At 41.8% G+C, this 23,698-nt stretch overlaps 1 protein-coding gene across 1 annotated transcript in view, besides 3 other annotated features; it reads left to right on the forward strand.

The window, feature by feature from the left end:
- The window catches only part of UTRN (utrophin), a 567,700-nt gene that overhangs the window by 32,033 nt on the left and 511,969 nt on the right, over window positions 1-23,698 (forward strand). The gene's annotated exons all lie outside the window — the stretch shown is intronic.
- Window positions 4,886-5,180: a silencer, noted in NCBI's record as "tiled region #1397; K562 Repressive non-DNase unmatched - State 22:ReprW". NCBI's record gives its function as "represses a minimal TATA promoter and a strong SV40 promoter by Sharpr-MPRA in K562 cells {active_cell/tissue: K562}" and the evidence as "EXISTENCE:reporter gene assay evidence [ECO:0000049][PMID:27701403]".
- Window positions 9,245-9,989: an enhancer, noted in NCBI's record as "H3K27ac-H3K4me1 hESC enhancer chr6:144647748-144648492 (GRCh37/hg19 assembly coordinates)". NCBI's record gives its function as "activates a minimal SCP1, AML or CMV promoter by ChIP-STARR-seq in primed H9 embryonic stem cells {active_cell/tissue: H9 hESC(primed)}" and the evidence as "EXISTENCE:reporter gene assay evidence [ECO:0000049][PMID:30033119]".
- Window positions 13,365-14,564: an enhancer, noted in NCBI's record as "BRD4-independent group 4 enhancer chr6:144651868-144653067 (GRCh37/hg19 assembly coordinates)". NCBI's record gives its function as "activates an origin of replication core promoter dependent on BRD2, P300/CBP, MED14 and CDK7 cofactors, and independent of BRD4, by STARR-seq in HCT116 cells {active_cell/tissue: HCT116}" and the evidence as "EXISTENCE:reporter gene assay evidence [ECO:0000049][PMID:35650434]".

Below are 23,698 nucleotides of genomic sequence, written 5' to 3' on the forward strand. Positions count from 1 at the left end.
AGCCAATTTAAACATTCCAATCTGATATATATATTTATTTTAGTTTATTTTTTTTGAGATGGAGTCTTGCTCTTTTCGGAGTGCAGTGGGGCCATCTCGGCTCACTGCAACCTCTGCCTCTCGGGTTCAAGCAATTCTCCTGCCTCTACCTCCTAAATAGCTGGGATTACAGGCACCCACCACCATGCCTAGCTAATTTCTGTATTTTTAATAGAGATGGGGTTTCACCATGTTGGCCAGGTTGGTCTCGAACTCCTGACCTCAAGTGATCCACCCACCTCGGCCTCCCAAAGTGCTGGGATTACAGGCATGAGCCACCGCGCCCAGCCCCAATCTGGTATCTTGATAAATTACCAAATTGTTGTAATAGAGATTAGTACCTTCTCTTACCTTTCTTTTTATAAATTAATTTTTTAAAATAGTCCTCAGACTTTCCTGTCAAGGAACCCTTTGATAGTTGATCATATTGCATGGTACTTTTTCCATTGCTTTATGTAAATTTCTGCTCTCACAGTCAGTAAATCTGAACATAAGCATTTCTTTCTGGGCTTTGTTCTGTCCTTTCCTTTCCTGGAAATAGCTTCCAGATGGGATTGTTTTCTTTTGACAAACCTCACGACTGTATGTTTCACCATTTTTTGACCTATTATCTCTTTTTGAGTTTCATTTTCGGCTTAGGTACTCTGCTTGTAGGATTTTTTTTTTAACACCCTGTGATATATACTGAAAATACTTTGCACTGTTAAGAGCCTGTACAATAATACTGTTAACGATGAAGTGCTGTGGACTTCTCTGTAACTCCCAATTCTTCAAAGGAAAATTTTCCTTCAGTGTATTCCATCTTTCTTACTTCTTCAAGTTTATTTAGGGAATACCAAGAAATAAAGTGTTGCTTAGTTTAATTCCTTTATAATGTCTTTATTTTTATTTATTTATTTATTTTCTGAGATGGAGTCTCATTCTCTTGCCCAGGCTGGAATGCAGTGGTGGGATCTCAACTCACTGCAACCTCTACCTCCTGGGCTGAAGTGATTCTTGTGCCTCAGCCTCCTGAGTAGCTGGGATTACAGGTGCCTACCACTACGCCTGGCTAATTTTATTTTATTTTATTTTTGAGACCGAGTTTCGCTCTATCGCCCAGGCTGGAGTGCAGTGGCGTGATCTTGGCTTACTGGAACCTCTGCCTCCCGGGTTCAGGTGATCCTCATGCCTCAGCCTCCCGAGTAGCTGGGATTATAGGCACTTGCCACCACGCCTGGCTAATTTTTGTATTTTTAGTAGAGATGGGGTTTCATCATGTTGGCCAGGCTGGTCTTGAACTGCTGACCTCAAGTGATCTGCCTGTCTCGGGCTCCCAAAGTGCTGGGATTACAGGCGTGAGCCACTGCACCTGGCCTATAATGTCTACTGAAAATAAATCTAGCTGGGCATGTTGGCTCATACCTGTAATCCCAGCACTTTGGCCGGCGTAGGCAGGCAGATTGTTGGAGCTCAGGAGTTCAAGACCAGCCTTAGCAACATGGTGAAACTCCTCTCTACAAAAAATACAAAAATTAGCTGGGTGTGATGCCAGCACCTGTGGTCCCAGCTACTTGGGAGGCTGAGGTGGAGGGATCACTTGAGCCTTGGAGGTCGAGGCTGCAGTGAACTATGGTGGTACCACTGCACTCCAGCCTGGTTGACAGAATGAGACCCTGTCTCAAAATAAAACAAACAAAAATAAATTTGCTTAAAATTTTTTTGAATTAAAGTTAATTTTTATAATATTTAGTTAGGTTTTTTTTTTTCCTCATTATTCTTTCACATTTTTCCAGGTTAAGGTACATGAATTTTACTCTTTTAATGTTGTGGCCCAGGGTAGTCTGTCTGCCAATCAGGCTGTTAAGTTGTGGGTCTGACATTTTCCTTGGAAATGCTGTTTCTGGGCATGTTAGACTTTCTGTACTTGTGTGTTGCCTTTTGGCAGAGACTTCGACACTTAAGGATTTGTTGATAAAATGACAAATTGTTTCATGAGGCATTTACTTGGTACTAGACATTTAGATGATTGTTTCTCGGAATAACTTGGTTGACTAACATCTTTCTGCTTCCTGTCGTCATGATCACTTCTGCAAAGGACGAAGCCTAGTACATTTTCTGGTAGAATCTTATATACCATAAGATTTAGTTGAAACATTGTATGTTTCTATCTTCAGTTTTTGGTCCCAAGTTATTTTAAGTAATTTTTTCTTTTTCTGTTGCCCAGGCTGGAGTGCAGTGGCGCCATCTCGGCTCACTGCTACCTTGATCTCCTGGGCTCAAATGATCCTCCCATCTCAACCTTCAGAGTAGCTGGGACCACAGGCACATGCCACCATGCCCAGTTAATTTTTATACTTTTTGTAGCGACAGGCTGGTCTCAAACTCCTGAGCTCCAGTGATCCACCTGCCTCACCCTCCCAAAGTGCTGGGATTATAGGCATGGGTCACCATGCCCAGACTTAAGTACATTTTTTTTTTTTTTTGAGACGGAGTCTTGTTCTGTCACCCAAGCTGGAGTGTAATGGTGTGATCTTGGCTCACCGCAATGTCCGCCTCCTAGGTTCAAGCAATTCTCCTGTCTCAGTCTCCTGAATAGTTGGGATTACAGGCACGTGCCACCACGCCCGGCTAGTTTTTGTATTTTTGGTAGAGACGGGCTTTCACCGTGTTGGCCAGGCTTGCCTTGAACTCCTGACCTCGTGATCCGCCCGCCTCCGCCTCCCAAAGTGCTGGGATTACAGGCGTGAGCCACTGTGCCTGGTCTTTAAGTAAATTTTTAAAGGTGTAAATTCTGCAGACTCGGATAAAAATAATTATTCTATTGTGTCTTAACAGATCGTTATAATTGTGAAGATTAAATGAGTTCAAAGTATTTGGCTAATATTGTTAGGGGCTGTTGCTTTTGTTATTATTATTACTATTACTATTACGTCCTGGCTTCATTCCTGCTCTCTCTTTCCCTCTTTGCATCATTGCCTCTGACTATCTCCAGGCTGCTGATAGTGAGAGGGGCCGTCTCCCAATCCAGGTTACCAGGTCTGGATGAATGGACTCTGACCCACTTTTCTGGCCACTGGAATTTTGCCTTTGTGAATATTATAAATAGTAATATGTATACAAAGAATGATTATGAAATAATCAATTATAAATTGGTTGGAATGTGTCTGATGCTCAGACATACACACACAATTTGACATTCTGGTTAGATTTCTCTGTGCAGGAAGCAAGGGAACAACAGAGCAGTGAGAAATCAAAGGAGAGAAGGGTATTCTGGGGCAAAGGACAGTTTCCATAGGTAGAATTACAGAGGTAAAACCATTAATCAAAAAAAACTAGTGCACCACTCACTCGATTTTTCCACCCCTTCCTTTCAGTCGTGGTCTGAGCTTTCGCATTCAGGTTGAAGATGAACTAGCATGTGCCTCATTTAATACTGGGAACTTTTATTTACCTGAGTCTGCTTTTTGAAATCTGTTAAGTGTTGAGTTTCTATTTGCACCTTATTCACCAGATTTACTTATTGTCTTTCCCTGCTAATGGGGATGGAGTGGGGGGAGGTGCTCGTGGCAGGCACTCAGACAAGCTCGCTGTGCAGCAGTGGCTCTGAGGGCACAGCTGTTTGGAATCAGCTGATCATTTTCAAGCATCTCTAGCTCATCATATTAAACACAGTTGCACACGTTTAGTGGTTGCTTAATTTTAACCTGAAACACTGTATGAAATAATTTGATGTATAAGAAGTATTGTAGTGATAAGAAGAGTAGCTTAATGGTTTTTCATGTTTTCTATGCCAGCCACTATTTAACCGTTTTACTATTTACAAACACACACACACACACACAACCATATACACCCATATCTGGGTATATGTGTTTGTCTATATACATACATATATGTGCATGTACACACATATATAAATTCATTTGATCCTCACAATAACCCTATAAAAGAGGCACTTCTATTTTCGCCTTTTTACAGTCAGGAAGCCAAGGCAGAGAGTGGGTAAGTAGCTTGCCCAACACGGGTAATGAGGGACAGAGGTGGAGTTTAAACCCAAGTAGCTGTGCCATATCTTTTTTTTTTTTTTTTTTTTTTTTTTGAGACAGAGTCTCGCTCTGTCATCCAGGCTGGAGTGCAGTGGCGTGATCTCGGCTCACTGCAGCCTCTCCCTCCCGGGTTCAAGCGATTCTCCTGCCTCAGCCTCCTGAGTAGCTGAGATTACAGGTGTGTACCACCATGCCCGGCTAATTTTTGTATTTTTAGTAGAGACAGGGGGTTTCACCATGTTGGTCAGGCTGGTTTCGAACTCCTGGCTTCGTGATCTGCCCACCTCGGCCTCCCAAAGTGCTAGGATTACAGGCCTGAGCCACTGTGCCTGGCCTTTTTTTTTTTTTTGAGATGGAGTTTTGCTCTATTTCCCAGGCTGAAGTATAGTGGCGTGATCTCCACTCATTGCAACCTCCGCCTCGGGTTCAAGCGAGTCTCCTGCCTCGGCCTCCCGAGTAGCTGGGATTACAGGTGCCTACATTCACGCCTGGCTGATTTTTGCATTTTTAGTAGAGATGGGGTTTTACCATGTTGGCCAGGCTGGTCTTGAACTTCTGACTTCAAGCGATCCACCCGCCTCGGCCTCCCACAGTCCTGGGATTACGGGCGTGAGCACCCGGCTGCCCATACTCTTAATCACTACCCTGGAGTAGTTCTCAGTGCTGAGCCTCTAACTCCAAGCAAATGATAATTAAATAATTACCACAATATGCCCAAAGTTATTTTATTACAAGCAAATTTATGAAATGATGCAGTTTTTTTTCACATGGAAACTGGTTTCTTTTGTTTACCTTGGATGGATGTTTGTTTGGGAGTTGGCTGTTTTCATTTGTTAAATAAATATTTTAGTTGGGTGTTTGTGTAGCAAGTGATCTTGGTGGCTCCCTGCAGTGTGTCCTGCACTGGTGAGCACCTGGTGAGCATTCACTGAATGTGTCTGATGGATTTACCACACTCATCTGTGAACCTGTAGCTCAGCTAATCCCCCTAAATCTGTGAGTGGCCCTTCTCAGCTGCCCTGCAGGGGACTTTGTGGAGCAGGAATTTATTTTGACCAGCAAACTACCCTTGTGACTCATCACCAAGAGCTTCTATCATTCTCTAGCAGGATTTGGAAATTAAAGACACTTTGACTCAGAAATATCTTCCACACAGGGACTCATTAAATGAAACTAACATCCTGGTGGGCAAAGTGTAGGAGAAATAGTAAAAGTGGATTTCGGCCGGGCGCGGTGGCTCACGCCTATAATCCCAGCACTTTGGGAGGCCGAGGTGGGCGGATCACGAGGTCAGGAGATCGAGACCATCCTGGCTAACACATCCTGGTGAAACCCCGTCTCTACTAAAAATATAAAAAATTAGCCAGGCGTGGTGGCGGGCTCCTGTAGTCCCAGCTACTCGGGAGGCTGAGGCAGGAGAATGGCGTGAACCTGGGAGGCGGAGCTTGCAGTGAGCCGAGATTGCGCCACTGCATTACAGCCTGGGTGACAGAGTGAGACTCCGTCTCAAAAAAAAAAAAAAAAATGGATTTCATGGGCCATTGGAAGTCACTGTCTTAAGCAGTGCTTTGTACCTGGGGACTCCATCCATGTGTAAAGGATTAGTGAGCAGGATACACATAGGGAAATGTGTAGGGAGTGTGTGATTCTGATCTTTTTAGAGGCAAATCCAGTTTAAATGTGGAGAGTGGCACTATTTTGGCTTCCTAGCAATTCCAGGTCTAATGCTTACATTTAAGTAACAAAGATGTTTGCATTGATGAAGCATAACCTTGGCAATTCTTAAATTTGGGGATTGGATTGACTATATATATGCCCTTCAGTAAGCTATTAAATCATCATGACCACTAGGTAAATGGTGGATTAACTACTATAAAGATTATTTATGAGTATTCCAACATCATTCATCTCCATCCCCTTATCAAGATTAATAGACAAATTATTATCATTTGAATGAGAGCCAGAAGAGCCCTCCCTCCCTCCAATTAATGATGGGCTGGAAAAGAGCAAGGAGATCACTTTTTGTGATAATCTGTTTTAAATGTTAGGGGATTTTAAACATTCTTACATCAGAATCCATGAAGCACAACATTAATATTTATTTTGCTTAAAAGTTTGCAGTCATTTAGTAGCAATTACTTTTATCTTTTCCTTAAGCTTTCTCAAAAACATTAAGGTTTAAAGAAAATAAAAGAACACTTTATTAAAATTTCTCTCTTTCTCTTCCTTGTTCTCTCTTTCTCTTGCTTGTTTTTTTGGTCATATATTAAACATATATCACGATATGGGCAAAATATTTTTTACAAGCTTCTTGACTGCCAGGGGATTAATCAAACTGGCTGTATGTGTCCTTTTAAACCAAGTAATTTGGGCGAAAGCTTGCAATTTTATGAATATGCTGGAAAATCTTACCTTTATTAGCTTGAGAAGTTTTCTCCATCCTTAGGTAGCCAAAGACAATTTTACTCGGTTTTGTGGGGAACATTGGTATCAGAGGTGAAGTTCTTTCTGATCTGCAAGGTGGCCTTGAAATTATTTCTGTATTTCACCATATTACTATCAACAACATTTGTTTTCCTTTCAGCCAGGATGAGAATTGCTATCTGTTTTCAGAACTTGGAGGCAGACCTTTAGGGGTCAGAGAAAGCTGAGCATTTGGGTTCTAGAAACCTTTACACTGGGTGTATTTTTATTTCATTGTTAATATCTCGATATAGATTTGCTTTAATACATATAGGTGAACTTTGAGCTTCTGTATTTATTTTGGCATACATTTTTAGAGATTAAATTTATTTAAATTTTTAATAAAACATTAATGCAATTTAGGATTTTTAGTACATGAAGTAAAAGTAAGTCTGCATCGAGGTCCCCAAAAAGCAACTGTAATTTGGCTGTATTGATTTACCAAGTCTAAAGTAAAATTTCACATTTGAAAATAAAGGAAAGGAAATGTAATTTTATGCTATGACTATAAAATTTCTCTCTATAGGAAATCACTGCATATTTCAAATTGGACTTAATCATAAAGAGAATAATTAACTGACAGTTACAGCTGATGTTATTAATATTACTGTAAAAAGTCTGGGTTTGGCCATAAAGTATTTAGCAAGACTACCTTTTGGAATTCAAGACTATGAGAACCACGTCTTGCTTGCACACTGCTCCATGTGAAACTCAGTGCCAGGCTCATGGAAATGGGACCATTTTAGGAGTCTTCCTGTGTATAAATTAAAGAGAGCAGAACTTACAGTTAAAAGTGGTAGAGCAATTTGTGTTTATCATTGCTTGCTGTCATGTTGCTACTATAATTACAATAAGAGAACAAAAAGGAATAAACTCCTGTGGTCAAATGGAAGTGGAAATGAAATAACCATTGATGGGGAAGAAAGACGATGGTGGAGTGGCTTTCTTATGCATCTCACAGATTTTGCAAGCCCTCTGATTGAAAGTTGCCAGGATTGTTTGAGGTTGGTTCAGGGGAAAGTGGGAGAAGTTTGAAGCTGAAAACTGAGAGTTTGGTTGAGAATCTTTAAACAGCACACTTTGACTCTCAGAGCTTTCCCCTTCTTCCTCACCTGCACAGGAGAACAGAGATTTATATATTTTTTCTGGAAAAACTGAATTCCAACTTGGGATCCTTAGCCCAGAGAGCATGGCAAGGCTCTGAATAGACATCAGGAAGATTAACTGACACCAGGAGGTGCCCCAGTTCCTGAAGCTATACCTGTCTGCTATAGCTTGAAGTGTCCCCCGAATTTCATGTTTTGGAAATTTAATCCCCAGTGCAACAGTGTTTGGAGGTGGGGCCTAAAAATAGGTGATTAGGTCATGAGAGCTCTGCTCTCTTTCTTGAATGGATTAATGTCATTATTGCAGAAGTGGGTTAGTTATCTTGAGAATGGCCTTGTTATAAAAGTGAGTTTGACTCTCTCTTGCTTACTTGCTGTCAGTGTATCCTGCCCTTTCACCTTTTTCCATGGGATGATGTAGCAAGAAAGCCCTCAGTAGATGCCAGTGCCATGCTTTTGGACTTCCCATCCTCCAGATCCTTGAGCCAAATAAATTTCTGTTCATTATAAATTACCCAGTCTGTGGCATTCTGTTGCAGTAGCATAGAATGGACTAAGACAGCCTCCCATCGCTGATCAGCCACCAATTAAAGAGTGCTTTTACTGGGAGTACAGTATAGTTACAGCACGTAAATTGATTACCTTACTTTGAGCCCACCAGTTGGTAGGTGACACCCAAGCCTATGCATTGTTGAGCCTCATTTTGAAATGGGAGGGGCTGCTAGGAGTCAGCAGATGTTTGAAAGCCTCCACCAGTAGACCTTATATTAACACAAACAAAAGGAAGGAGCCACTTAGGGGAAATAGGAATGTGGCCTGTATCCTCAGAGAAGTAGGAAAATAATTGTGTCTTTGAAACAAGAACAGAATGTGATAAAAAAAAAATCAGAGAATAAGAAAGAGATCTTGGAAATTAAAAGTGTGATATCAGAAATAAGATCTCAAGTAGAGATTGGAAGAGTGGATATAAAAGTGATAAGTAAAAAAAGTCTTATAGATAATGTCTGACTTGCAATCAGGAAGGAGTTTATAAGCATAGTATTTAGAAATGCATAATCTATTGTCAGAAGAAACAGATAACAGAGGAAAGGGGATGCCCAAGCCTGCTGCATTGTGTTATCATCTTATTTTATTGAAAACAAACTTAAGTGCATTTATTACTTGGATAAAAATTGAGAAATATATAATGAGATAGACTGTAGAAATCATTTTATTAAAACATTTTATTGATAGTACAGAAAATGCTGTACTGTTACTTTTTTTGGCAATTTCATAAAGCTCTGTGAATAACATGGTCCCTTAGTTTTTTTTTTTTAGTAGCCCTCTTTTCTCAGCACCAAATTCTTGCTGTTGTTAGGCATAGTCATCCTAATATTTTTTATACTTTCTGCCAGGCCTGAGAAGCTTCATGGCTTTAGAAATCATCTAAATCATCACATTGTGTGTGTGGCTGTAAATATCCAAATTATTTTGAGGCAAGTTTCTCCTCTGATGTGACGGCCATGTATTTTCCATATTGCTGATGATGATGGGAGTGTTTTCTCTGAGACATTTTACACTTGTGGTATATTTAGCTCACTAGTAATGAATTACAAATGCAAGGAACTTGGAATCCTGAATGAATACTAGGAGCGAGCCGACTTTCAAGCTGAAATGGTCTCTTTCCAACATTTTCTGGCTGATACACCACTTTTAATAGTAAGTGGCTTCCTTCTGCTCTTCTCCATCACTTGCAACCATGGATGGCTGTTGTGGTAACACGGACCCTCACAGAATCTTAGATCTGGTAGATGCTTTAAGGGGCCAACCAGTCCAGTTATTTTCCCCTATCCCTGAGGAATCCCACTCAAGGAGGGAGAAAATGATTTTCTCAAGATGCACCTGTTCCTATGAGATGACTAGGGGTCCAAACTTGGCATTCTTTCTGCGTCTCTAGGCCACCTGGACCTGAAGGACAGTTCTGACTTTCCTTCAAATCTCATGCCGTTGTTGATGCTCGTCTGGTGGATTTGTACCTGAGAAGGGATGTTTCGGGAGGGATTTTAGGCTTCTGTCTGCTGTGTGAAGCCGAGGGGGTTTTGTGAATATTCTGTAAGAGATGTGACGCCTGTGGATGAAAGCAGACAGATCAGGCCGACCTTGGCTTGGAGTCTAAGTTTTAGAGACAGAAAACAGGGAGGGGGTGAAGGAGAGGGGAAATGGGAGGAGGAGAAGGAGGAGGGGTGCCAGGATCATTTCTTTTCCTGTTACGCATTTTCCTTTTGGCGGGAGAGAGTGAGAAAGCTCCTGAATGTAACTGGAGCTGCTGAACTGAACTGGTCAGAACCTGTCCTAATTTGTGTAAAAGAAATGCTGTGGTATTTATTCTTCCAGAGAAGCCCACATAACGCAACCAGGGCCTGCTGGCTGCCCTTGAGGTTCTGCAGAGCTTGGTTTTGGTGTCTTCTCTGAGCCTGTTTTCTGCTGAGGCAGCCCCTGGGTGTTGCCCACTGGCCTAACTCCCTCCAGGCTCGGCCTTTCGCCTCTCATCAAAGCTCTTTTTTCCCTGGATTTTAATGGTTGGCTGATTAAAGTAGTTCATAGTAAGGTGTTAATTATAACTCTTTCCGGTGGTTATGTGCATATATTCACAGAGTTGTTACAGAAGTAAGGGGACTGGGCTGCTCATGGTGGCTCATGCCTGTAATCCCAGCGCTTTGGGAGGCCGAGTGGGTGGATCTCCTGAGGTCAGGAGTTCGAGACCAGCCTGGCCAACATGGCAAAACCCCGTCTCTACTAAAAATAACAAAAATTAGCTGGGCATGGTGGCGGGTACCTGGAATCCTAGCAACTCGTGAGGCTGAGGCGGGAGAATCACTTGAACCCGGGAGGTGGAGGTTGCAGTGAGCCGAGATCACACCATTGCACTCCAGCCTGGGCAACAAGGGCGAAACTCCGTCTCAAAACACAAAACAAAACAAAACAAAGCAAAACGAAACAAAAAACAACGGAAGTTAGATGGGGCTGAATTTCCAACTGCTAGGCTAGAACTAGGACAACACTGTGAGGGAAATCGGAGTGTAATACATTCCGCAACCCCACCTGTCTACTATCGCAACCCCACCTGTCTGCTATCCTCCCTTTGCAAGCCCAGGGCCTTGATGGTTCAAGGATGAGTCTTTCTAGAAAAAAGGGAGAGAAGTTTCTTTCCTTTTTTTTTTTTAAACAAAAGAAAAACAAACATGTTTATTAAGATATGCGTAGTGCATACACATGGGAGTACCCAGACATGAGTAATTCAAAGGGTTGGTTAGAACTGGGCTTATCTAGCATCTTAACAAAGGAACGATAACTTTTTAGAGAGGTGATGAAACAAAGGAAAATGACTTTAAGCTTCCAGGTGTTACCAGAAGTTTCATCAAATCAAGAATATTCTTAGGAGTGTCAGGGGTGTCTAATAGTTGAGCTGTTAAGTAACTCTTAAACTTGTTAATGTCTCTTGGGAATTTCTTCTTTTAGAGTTGTTTTGTATTAAAACCAAGGAAATAAATATCTTTATTTGTTTTAAAAATAGTATCTTAATTTATTAATTTTGTTTATTTTGCAAAGTCTTTTTAAGGAAATATTATTTCCTTTTACAATGAGTAAAAATACATTCATTCAGAACAAAATATAATTGTTTCTTGGTGCATCAGATGTTTATATCTCATGATAGTGATCTGTTAATAGATCAGGGTTTTTATTCTTTATCTTCATCCCCCCTTCATTGCCCCCATAGACTCCTTTGGCAGTTTAGTGAAGCCAGACAAATTTTTTTTTGAGACAAAGTCTCACTCTGTTGCCCAGCCTGGAGTGCAGTGGTGCGATCTTGGCTCCCTGCAACCTCTGCCTCCCAGGTTCAAGCGATTTTCCTGCCTCAGTCTCCCAAGTAGCTGGGATTACAGTTGCAAGCCACTGTACCCAGCTAATTTTTTGTATTTTTGGTAGAGACGGAGTTACACCATGTTGGCCAGCCTGATCTTGAAGTCCTGACCTCAGGTAATCCCCCTGCCTCGGCCTGCAAAAGTGCTAGGATTACAGGTGTGAGCCACCGCACCTGGCCTTTTTTTTTTTTTTTTGAGATGGAGTCTCACTCTGTCACCCAGGCTGGAGTGTAGGGGGGCGATCTCGGCTCACTGCAACTTCTACCTCTCGGGTTCAAGCGATTCTCCTGCCTCAGACTCCCGAGTAGCTGGGACTACAGGCGCACGCCATCATGCCCAGCTAATTTTTGTATTTTTAGTAAAGACAAGATTTCACCATGTTGGCCAGGATGGTCTCGATCTCTTGACCTTGTGATCCGCCTGCCTCGGCCTCCCAAAGTGCTGGGATTACAGATATGAGGCACCGCACCCAGCCTGACAAATATTTTTAAATGCATAAAATAGAGTACATGGTATTCCATGCATACAGTTACCAAAATACTGAAAAAGTCTGTGAGAGAGTAGTATTTGCTGTTTCATTAGTGTGTTCAGTAAGAACTTCTAGCATCTCTAACCTCTCTACTCTTCTGAAATAACAACGAGCCAAATGGTATTTTCAAGATACCTGCTAGAGTTGTAAGGTGATGTGAAAATGGTTATGATTTTTGCTGGTGACACAGTCAAAGCTACCACTAATAATGTGTTTTGTGATCTGCCATCACAATGGAAGGAAATGCAAATTTCTGTTAGAGGTCAGTGAAAAGATCTAATTGCTTTTCCTGTCCAAGTTCATGGACCCCCTGCCTGGTAATAACCCCTGATAAAGATGATGGCTTAAAATGAGTATTTGTTTCCTTAAACCTCAGCAGTGGCAGCAGTGTGCCACAGAGTGTTTCAAAAGAGACAACAATTTTAAATGGAAAGTAGTCTTGGGTGAATGCCCCATATGGCAGGCACTGCACTGGGTGTAGTTGACAAAACTGATGAGCTCTATGATGGCATCTGGCCTCTTGAGTGTGTAGACTAGTACGAGAACCAGACATCAAATTGCAGAGCATACAAATAGTTGTTTAACTGCTTAGAGGGTAGACATTCTGCAGTGCTGTCATGGCAAATCACTCGGGGACTTCATAGGGACCTGGAATGAGTGATAGTTTGAGTGGTCAGGGAAGGCCTTCTTGAGGAATCTATTCAAGTCCATAGTTCAAGGTGGTGGAGGGCACTGGCTGAAGGCAGAGCTGTGTGCAGGCTCTAAGCTGGCAGAACTTGGCCCACAGAAAGCCTGATTGAGGCCGGTGATTGGGAGTGAAGTGAGCAGAGGGCTGTGGATTAAAATTGGCAGAAAGATGCAGTCTGCATTTCACTCAGTAGTATTTCTTATCCTGATTGAAGGGGCATGGTTTACCTCTTAGTTTGAGGGCATGTATTATTTAGTGCATTAATGGATGGATCCCTAAAAGCATTAGGAATTAGTCTGGAGTATGTAGGTTGAAAAATAGGTTATAAAATTGATGAGAACAAGCTCTCTTGCAAGAGTTAGAAACATAAAAACAAATTTTTCTAAAGCTAAATTCCTTAACATTTTTCCTCACTCAGATTTCTATTTGGCTTGAATCTAAGGAAAACCTGAGAAGAGAGGAAGTGCTTGGCTTCTCTGTATACCAAGCAGTTTCAACAGTGGTGTTTGTAGAAATGCATACCTTGCTGTTCCTAGGCAGATAAGTGTTGTCACACGTCTTCAGATTTTAAGGCGACAGGCTCCACACCTGGCAGAGGCTCAGACAGAGCAGACCAGGATTGGGCTATTCACAGAGGCAGGAATGTGACCATTCTGGTCCGGGCAGTTGGGGAGGAACTCATCTATCCACGGTTCCCATACTGTTTGGCCCTGTTTTTCAATTTGACTCCATCAAAGCACATTCTCCAGCCGAGGGGTACACATCCCTTTGTGACTTCAGAAATCATGCACTGTTGGTTTGGGAGTCTTAACTACATTTGGAGGACACGCTGAGCCGACGAGAAATGGAAGTGAGATCTGAATCCACAAACGGAGACGGCAGACAGTCACAGGCAGGTAAAGACTCATTGAGAATGTGGCTACTTAAATTTTGTCCACCTGTTCATTGAAAGGAAGCCGAGGCATGACTCTCCGCCAATAATTAGTGTGAAAATTACTGAGTTAACAGATTCTAAATTATTTTGTCCTCTGGGTGACCTAGGAAGTTTTTAAAAGACGTTTTTTCTAAATAATGTCATGAAATAAGATAGTTACATGTAAAGAATCTAACAAGGTCAGTCATTAAAAACATTTTCTAAATATGATTTATTTTGCTTACTAACCTTGTAAATCATCTAGGATAGGACCACTGTCAGCCTCAGAGCCTGGCACAGAACTTGGCACTTAATGCGTGTTTGTTGAATATGAATGGATTGGGTCCAGTGTCTAATGATACGCTATGAAAGTTATTCCATCACTTCTCCGTGATGGAAAAAGATTTACCGAAAAGTGTCTGTTGTATGAAAGTCATATGGGGTAGAAATTAAACTGTAAATGAGTTAAGGAGCTGTAACCTTGGCGCTATTCCAAATCTCCAACAATTGAGTAGTTAATTAGTGCCCCTGCATCCATTTAATTTGTCCATTTATCTCTTGGTTCGTTCACTGTCATTTATTTCTCTCTGCTGGTGCCAAGTTACGTGATAGGCTGCTGGGAGGCAGACAAGCAAGATCTCTGCTTGCAGGCTTTCAAACGCAGCGATTCAGCAGCGTGGTAAGACGTGTGCTCATGATACATACTATGTGCTGTGGGACCACAGGTCAGGAAGGATAAACTCCCGGAGTTTTGCTCTTCCTCAGAGGGTCAAGGAATGTTTCCCAGAGAAGTGACTTGCAAAGTGGTAGAGAGGAATGTGGAAGGGAAGAATTCCAGGCTGAGGAGAAAGTGTTTGGAAAGGCAAATATTCAGTGAATCATATGGTGAGATGCCATTTTCAAATGTATAATGCACCTCCTTGCTCACTGTCCATCATTGCCCCATCCAGCCACACTGGTCAGCTTTCAGCTCTGGGAACAACCTCTGTTTACAGGGTCTTTCCTCCACCTGGAATACCGGCCCCCAGCTCTTGGCTATCTCCTTCTCCTCCTTCTGGGATTGGGCATTGGATGAAATTGCACCTGCTTAGAGAAGCCTGTCCTGACACCCACCTGAAGTAGATTTTGTGCTGTTGTCTCCACCATCCACACTTGTCACCATTGCTCATTGCTTTTGTTCACTTGTTTGTTTACTTTAGTGTTGATAGGTCCCCAAGACTGTGCTCTCCATATGGGCAGGGACCAAGGTTGTCTTGTTCACGATTGTGTCCATAGTGCCTTGTACGGTGCCTGTTCTGTAGGGATGATAGATCCTTGTGAATGAATGAATGAGTGAATGAATGAATGAAAAGGCGGAGTCACTTAAAAGAACAAAAGCATTTGTAATAGACTTGCTATTCCTGTTTATTCTTTGAAATTTGAGGTAATTCTTAACTAGCCACTTAGGATCTCCATTAAGAACCCTAGTCAAGACCTTTGGGTATTACCTCAAAGTAAAACAAAGTGGGAGTATTTTGGATCTTTGGAAGTTAACTTGAAAAAATCTAAGGATTCTTTAAATTGAATATATAGGGAAGAGAGAACTCCTACTCAGAATACTTAAGTTACAAACACAAGAAAAATTCATAGATTAAAAAAATTGAACAAAGAGTATCATTAAGTCAAACCGTTTTTAATAGTAATTTTGTAAAGTTATTTATGACACTATTTTTTATGTATATTCTCAGTTCTCTAAAACCTGATAATTTTGGTGATTTACTCTTATCTGTGCTTTGAACACTTTATTCTTATAATTAATATCATTATTTTTAACTTACTGAAACCTTTCAACTTACGTAATCAGTAATGTTCTCATGCTGATATTAACCTTTTATTTATTTATTTATTTATTTATTTATTTATTTATTTATTTATTTGAGATGGAGTCTCATTCTGTCACTCAGGCTGGAGTGCAGTGGTGCGATCTTGGCTCACTGCAACCTCCACTTCCCGGATTCCAGCCAATTCTCCTGCCTTAGTCTCCCAAGTAGCTGGGATTACAGGCTCCCACCACCACACGTGGCTAATTTTCGTATTTGTATTTTTAGTAGAGATGGGGTTTTGTCATGTTGGCCAGGCCTGTCTCGAACTCCTGACCTCAGGTGATCCACCCACCTCGGCCTCCCAAAGTGCTGGGATTACAGGTATGAGCCACTGAGCTCAGCCTGATATTAACCTTTTAATTCAATACAGTCTTCCCATAACAGACCTTCTCCCATTGATGGGCTCATTTTTATTGCTCTTTGTTCTCTACTGATTCTGTCAGTTTTTAGAGCCCATAAAATAGCTTCATTTCTATACCGTCTTATTCACATTCAGATTTTTCATATAGCATGTCACACACAGTATAAGACATTTTCCATAACATATTATGAGTTGATGATTTCTGTCATGTTGAAGAAGATCATACAGCAACACTTATCTTGTAAATTCTCTTATAATGCCAGGTAAAAAAAATGTTATGTGAAATGGCACATTGAAAGAAAGGAAAATCTAAAGGTGGATTGCTTAAATGATTGTGATTGTTTTTCCCATTGGATCTTCTGCAGATGAGAATTCCCTGCATAGATCACCCAAGGGGTGGCAGATCGGGCTTCTCAGTTTCAGCCAGGGGTGGACGGTTTGCATCTCCTGATGTGTTCATCAACAACATGATGAAGCCAGTGTCCTTGGCTACTGATTCCAACCTTTTGTTCTGTTCTTGGAGAAATGGGGAAAAAGATACACTTATATACTAGTGTAGATTTTGGTTATCTTTATTTGTGAAGAAAATTTTTTGTTTACCTCTCATTTTATTCATTCGTTCAGTAAATATCTCATTTTATTCATTCGTTCAGTAAATATTTATCCACCCACCTACTATGTGCTAGGCACTGTGATAGTCACTAGGTATTAAAAAAGTACATTGATGATCGATGCTAAGATTATTTTCAAACTATTTTAAGAGAGGACTCCTAAATTAAAAGAAATTATGTATCAACAGACAAATGCCCTTTTATTTTTTTCCCTACAAAATTGCTGCTGGCTAGAGAATGATGATGATTTGCACTTCTGACATCATTGCCTAATGTTGGGTTTCTGTGCCTGGGCTCTTTATGCTGTGGAGGCAAATGGTGCTTTGAGTGTCTTAATTTCACCGGAATGCTGCACCTGTTGCTGGCTATTCTTGCATATGAAATCCAGACCCTAGAGTCACTTGCTTTCATTTCCTTTTCCTCCTCCCTCTTTCCGGTGTGTGTTTGGGGGGGGTGGGGGTGGTGAGGCAGGGTGGGGGCAGCAGATTAGTAGCTTCTGTGAAGAGTAACCACCTTCCTGTTCCGTCAAGGCTATGATTTTAGCGCCCCCGGGAGTGGTAGTGTTGCGTCACTCTGTCATCTGTCGCCGAAAGACTCATAATCCGGGCAGCCTCAAGAGTTTGAGGCGTGGGTTTGTGCCCGAGTTTGGGGTTCTAGGGGAGGGGTGAAGTGGAACAGGCTTTCAGCAGCTGCTGCCGCCACCTGATACCTGGAACCTTACTGCTATTGAGGAACATGTATTTCCTCTTGGCTTCATTTGCTGTTTGGCTATGACTGAGGAAGACAGGAGGTATTGCATAGTATCATTTACTTTCATAAACATAACTTTGACATCTCTAGGCTTCATGTTGGTTCAGGCAATGCTCTCGAAAGCCAGGGAGCTGCTTTGCAAGATGCATGCTATGGCTGAAGGAACGGCTCAATAGCTGGGAGCTGGCCCTGAGGTTTAAATCCACTCACAGCACGAATTTGGTGTTTTACTTTGTGTCCTGAAACCTCAATAACCTCATTTTTCAAGTGAGAGTTGAAATATTGACACAACTTAACTTTTAAGAATTTTGAAGGCATCAGTGAAAATAAATTGAACGAACTTTGAAGTTCAGAGATCTCTAAAAGTGAATACAGACCAAATTATATCCTGATGATCAAGTAGGAACATCCGTAGTTCCAGTACTATAGTTCATTGACAACCTCCAGAAAGTTACGGTAGTCTAACATTCCTTATTTAAAACCAACTTTGCCATGTTTAATTTATTTATACTTTTATAGATAGACAGATTTACTACTGGACATTCTCTGGCAGAGAAAAATTTCATGGAAAGTGAAGTTTAATGTGAAATGGCACATAAGTGGTCCTGACTTGCAAACTCAGGAATGGCTTGTTGACCACTGTCCTGGAATAAGAGAGCCCAGCTTTGTTCTTGTCTTATTTCTGGATCGCCCTTTCTCCTTTGTACCTTCTGACATTGTTTCTGAGTTCCCTCCTCCCATCTGCCACCCGCTCCTTTGCAACTCTGTAGAGCATTTTAATAACAGGTTGTTTGTGCCTGTCTTGCCTCTGCAGCACTCACTCCCACCTGTTTCCTCAGCCTCTGACTTCTCCTTTCCCCTTTTTGGCATGCTCTGACCTGCCTCCGTAGTTGAACCCGATTCCTGAGGCAATGATATGGCAGGTCCCTCAACTCTCCATCTATAGCACTTGCCTTGCCTGGCCTGGGAACCGGCTCTTTCACTGCTGTACTGCATGGAACAGAGTAGGCACTGCTTAAACCTATCAGCTGCCTGGCTCTCTCAAATGCTCTTTCCAGGAACTCTGGCACTGTGAACCCACTGCTGAATCTCGTGGCTCATAAATAAACTCTCAAGTGATAATTGTGACTTGAATTCTCTAGTTCTTACCTGACCACCTCTTAATATCATCCTGGAACTGTCTTTATATCATCTTGGAAACCCTGGAGCTGATTTGAAATACCTCTGGTCAGTTCCTCAGCATCAGTTCTGTCTAATGAACACCTATATTCTTCATTGTCTCCTCACTCTTGGCTCTAAGTTGTCACAAGTAGATGATTATGTCTCATTCCCAAGTAGAGATAGGACACATGAGAGTGGGTGGGTGTGCCCATAGTTTAGACAGGACTATCTTTGTGTGGTACCAGCTGCGGCAGGATCTACAGATGACTCACACATGTTAATACCCACATCTTCTGAGTGGCCAACATCCTCAGATTTGCATGTGGGCATTTGCAAGAGGAAGCACACAGATGCTGTGATCAGGGCTGAGATGCCTACAGGTGTGTCTGCTGGGCTGCGGCAGGTGGTGGCCAGTGGAAGACAGGTTGTAGGTAGGGAAAGTGTTGCCTCATGGAGGGTGATCCTGATATGGTGGGAACTTCAATCCAGACTCCGACATCGCCACGGGCAAGCTGAATGACAGTAAACAACCTTCAGGGCTTGGGGACGTCAGCACACTCACCTGTGGAGAGCCAGCCAGAAGACAGGCAGTGGCACAAGTTTTCTGAGGTAGAGATTGTGACTGTAGGTGACCAAGGAACAAAATATTATGAAGACCACATTGGGGTTCATAGGCTGGTGGCCCTGTAGGACACTTGGACACATTTTTTTTCCTGCCAACACCAAAGAATAATTTCTAGGTGTCTCTTCTTCACACCTTCCCATGAAGCTTGAAAGTTCTAGAGCTCACTAGAAACTAGAAAAATTTTCCTTACTATGACAGCAAGTGTGCTTCGAGAAAACTCACTTGCTGACCTTTGTTCCACAGCCCAGCAGGTTGCCACCTGATTTATAAAAACAGATTATGGAGACAGTCCAGAAAAATTACTCCCTCTTTCTTTTTTTTTTAAAGTAATATTTTAAAATTCCTTTCTTTTTGAAGTATTTGGGTTGTTTTTATCAATTTCGTTCACTGTTGCCTTAAATGACAATTCTTGCCTCCCTGAAGAACTCTTGGCCTTCATTCCTGCCACTACAGTGAGAAGTTCTAAGCTGGAAGGGCCATCCCAGGGATGACTGCTTTAAGCAGCCAGTCATGTAGGGTTGCGCCTGTGGCCCTGGCAGATTGGACCCTGTTTCTACCAAGTGGTGGCATCACTTGGCTTCCATGTAGTGTTTTTCTGTTCTCCTGCAGATCGCTGTCAGCCACTGGAGGCCTCACCCACTGGGTTCCAGACAGCTGCCACTTCTGTTTAGAAGCAACACTGCCAGTGAGAAACCCTGCCACACACAACACACACAGACACACACACACAGACTCACACACAGAGACACACACACACAGACACACACACACAGACACACACACACACACCACACACACACACACACACACACACATGTGAGAGGAGGGCCACCCTGGGAGGAAACCCTGAATTCTCCCCTCTTAGCACACTCCTTCTATCTACTCCTTCTATCTCCTGGTAGAGGGAGAAGCTGTGTGCCCCTATTACTACCTCTCTTTACCTCCTCATTAAGGGCTTTGGTGCGATTATTGTCTCCCTTTTAATCTCACTACTTGCATGCAGCTTTCTTGAGAAAGGTTATAATTTAATCCTGAAATACAACTTCTAGGAGTTTTCTTTTTAATTCATCATTCCAAGTAGGTGTCTTTGTCTGTTTCCACATTAGAAAATGAAACCAATACTTAAATATGATTTCCCTGCTTTTATTGGCAGCTATTTAAGATCTATGTCTGAGGTCTGGCTCCGTGTGGTTTGGAATACTTTATTGTTATTATTATTATTATTTTGAGATGGAGTCTTGCTCTGTCTCCCAGGCTAGAGTGCAGTGGTGTGATCTCAGCCCACTGCAACCTCTGCCTCCCTGGTTCAAGTGATTCCCATGCCTCACCCTCCTGAATAGCTGGGATTACAGGCACACGCCACCACGCCTGGCTAATTTTTGTAGTTTTAGTAGAGATGGAGTCTTACCATGTTGGCCAGGCTGGTCTCGAACTCCTGACCTCAGGTGATCCACCCGCCTCAGCTTCCTAAAGTGCTGGGATTATAGGCATGAGCCATTGCGCCCAGCCTGGAATATTTTCTAAGCTCTTTGATGATGGCGGCTTCGATTTAACTCTCTCTGACTTAATTCTGTTGATTATAATGTCATTCAATCCCATTAGTATACTCATATGGAAACAAAGGCATGATTTCAGATTTTATTTATATCTTCATGCTTTGGAAAAACAATTTCATGAGAAATCACTCAGCCCATGAAGTACCATCCTTGACATTACTTTTTTGGGTTTGCTTGTTTTTAAAACAGTTTTTATTGGCTTTTGCTTTTTATAATTTTTTGAACCATACCAACAGTCGCATAATGAGTATTTTTAGACATGTGCTTTTAAAATCATGTGAAAATTCTTTTAATGTCAACATGAAGAGTTTTGTTTATAATCATTGCTGTGATCAAGAACTGAGGTAGAATTTCCTAGCTGGACACAAATGGGTTAAAAAAAAAACCCGACATGCTCTTTGATTATTGGATAAGTTGTATTCTAAACAATATTACTCTGATGAAGATATTAAGGGGAGTTAATTAGATTGTGAGACTCTTGAGGACAGTTGATGCCTTTTTCATTTTTGCATTCTTCTTGGGTGCCGTGTAGTTGATCAGTATAGTCATGGGACTTAGTTCTGATTGTAGGGAGCTGTGTGAACTGCATGAAGCAGACGAGACTCCATCCTCGCATGGGAAACCTTTAAGGATTTTGAAGCTGGGCAGGTGCAGGTTAATAGAAAGATCACTCTGGGCTCTGTAGGAGAGTGATTTGGAGAGAAGAGCCCCTAGAGGCCCAGGGAACATTGCAGGTGGCTCTGCCAGGAGACCAGGTAGAAGATGTGGTGAGGGTGGGCGGGAGATGGATGAAACTGTGGATTTCGTAGGTACAGATTCATCATCCTTCATCTGTAGCTACACTATTGAAGAAGACCTCCGAAAACCAGAAGGTGTTTTATTTGTAGTTCATTTGGCAAGAAAACTTGAGTTTGACCTGAACTCATTTGGTGTTGAAGCCTGACTTGAACAGCTGGGACTCTTTTAAAGTCCTTATGTATGTCAGGCATCCTTCATAAACATATGTATTTACTGCAGGGCTATTAATGTGTTTGATTAGGGGAAATTGCCCTGGATCTTGCTGTTTTTTGTTTTCACTGTAATATATGACTTGTGCTATATAACTTTTCTCAAATGGGAAGAGTTCTGGTTCAGCAGCACCTCTGGCCCTAGGGTTTTGGAAAAGAGGTTGTGAAACTCTTTGACATGTGTTTACAGGATAAGGTTGATGAAACTGACTGATAAGAAATGGAGGCAAGATCTATGGAAGAAAAGAACATTTCTGGAAAGACTCAAAAGTTAATGATGACACTGCCTCATTAACACTGAAGGGAAGTAGAACTTTAGGAGGGGTCAGAAATATTCATTAGATAGGCATGATTCATTGAAAAGGATGCATCTTGAATTTTTGAAGTATTGCTTGTATGTGATCTTGGATTGAATTGTAGACCAGAAAAAGGGGGCAATTGCAGAAATTTGAAAAAGACCTATAGATTAGTTCATAGATTTGCATCTATGTGAATTGTCTGGTTTTCATCATTGTACTCTGGTTATGTAAGATGGTAATATTTGAGGAAGTTGGATGAAGGGAACATGAGAACTCTGTGTACTCTTTTCTTTTTTTTTTAACCACTTCTTTTATAAGTCTAAAATTATTTCAAGATAAAACTTTGAAAAATAAGAAAAAGAGGTGTTTGTCATATCAGGGAACAGTATCATTCATGATGCTTTTAGGTAGAGAGTATCTATGAGCAGAAGTCTAGTTTTCTAGGAGAATTCAAAGTCTAGAAGTGCAAATCGAGTAGAATTTCAGTCAGGCCTTCACCCCCTCCCAATTTTTTCTTTTTAAAAAAGCTGACCTGGTTTCTATTGTAAGATTATCTTTTTATATTCTGATCTGAGAAAAATGCTTGACTGTAGCGTAATCATATAAAGAAGAGTTCTAGGCCAGGCGTGGTGGCTCACGCCTATAATCCCAGGACTTTGGGAGGCCAAGGTGGACAGATCGCTTGAGGTCAGGAGTTTGAGACCAGCCTGACCAACAAGGTGAAAGCCGTCTCTACTAGAAATATAAAAATTAGCCGGGCATGGTGGTGCCCACCCATAATCCCAGCTACTCGGGAGGCTGTGGCAGGTGAATTGCTGGAATCTGGGAGGCGGAGGTTGCAGTGAGCTGAGATCACACCACTGCACTCCAGCCTGGGCGACATAACAAGACTGCGACTGCGTCTCAAGAGAAAAAAAAAGAAGAGTTATAAAATGGAGAGCTCATGGGAAGTGCCATAACTTGTCCTTTGCATTTAGTCTCCCTGGTGTTGGAGGGTGTGGTTTGGCTCTAGTTCTTGTTGGTAGCTCTGCAGGGCGAGGTATAGTTGTATTAGTTAGGACTGACAGTTATAATATGATGTTCAAAGCCAAGAAGGTTTACAGATAACAGGGAAGAATGAAGAAGATGTGTACCCTTCATGGCCAAGGTCAGCTTGCCTGGATTTTGTGGGGCTGATGCTGCTGGGTGTATATTTCCTCCGTGGAGAGAGGATTAGTTTCTGAATTCCTTTGCTTCCCTCTCTAACTTCAACATTACCTCCTGTAGTTTCAGCTAATTTGTTCTGTAATTCTCTCTCCACTCCAATTCTTTCTTTCCTTTTTTGATGAGAGTAGACCTAGGCTGGCAGCCAGTTGCTATTGAGCTATAATAGAGCTAGTGGTATGAACAAAATTTGATTACTGCTGTCAACACTAGATTGAATAAGAAAGCGCATACCCTAGACAGATACTTGCAACATAAATGGTCTATTGATTTCACAAGAACTAGAAAATGAGGCCACCGTGTAATCTAGCAGAAGAATGGATCTGTGAATAGAGTGGGTCCTGACATTGCACAACAGTTTTCAAAAGCGCCCCCCTATTGATCTTTTTAGAAGAATCTTCAGATAAACTGATTTTAGCTTCTGATTTTCCTCACCATCAAGTGTTTACAGAAACTTCAATGAAGCCTTTGCACTTGTGTGTGTTCAATGGTTTGCTTTTCCTACATAGAATCTAGTTTGGAAGTTATATTGGCTGTTACAGACCTTGTTTGCTCCTGAGCTATCATGATATTTCCACTTAGCTTAATATGAATG

The sequence above is a fragment of the Homo sapiens genome, chromosome 6, assembly GCF_000001405.40.
Source record: "Homo sapiens chromosome 6, GRCh38.p14 Primary Assembly".
Lineage (NCBI taxonomy): Eukaryota > Metazoa > Chordata > Mammalia > Primates > Hominidae > Homo > Homo sapiens.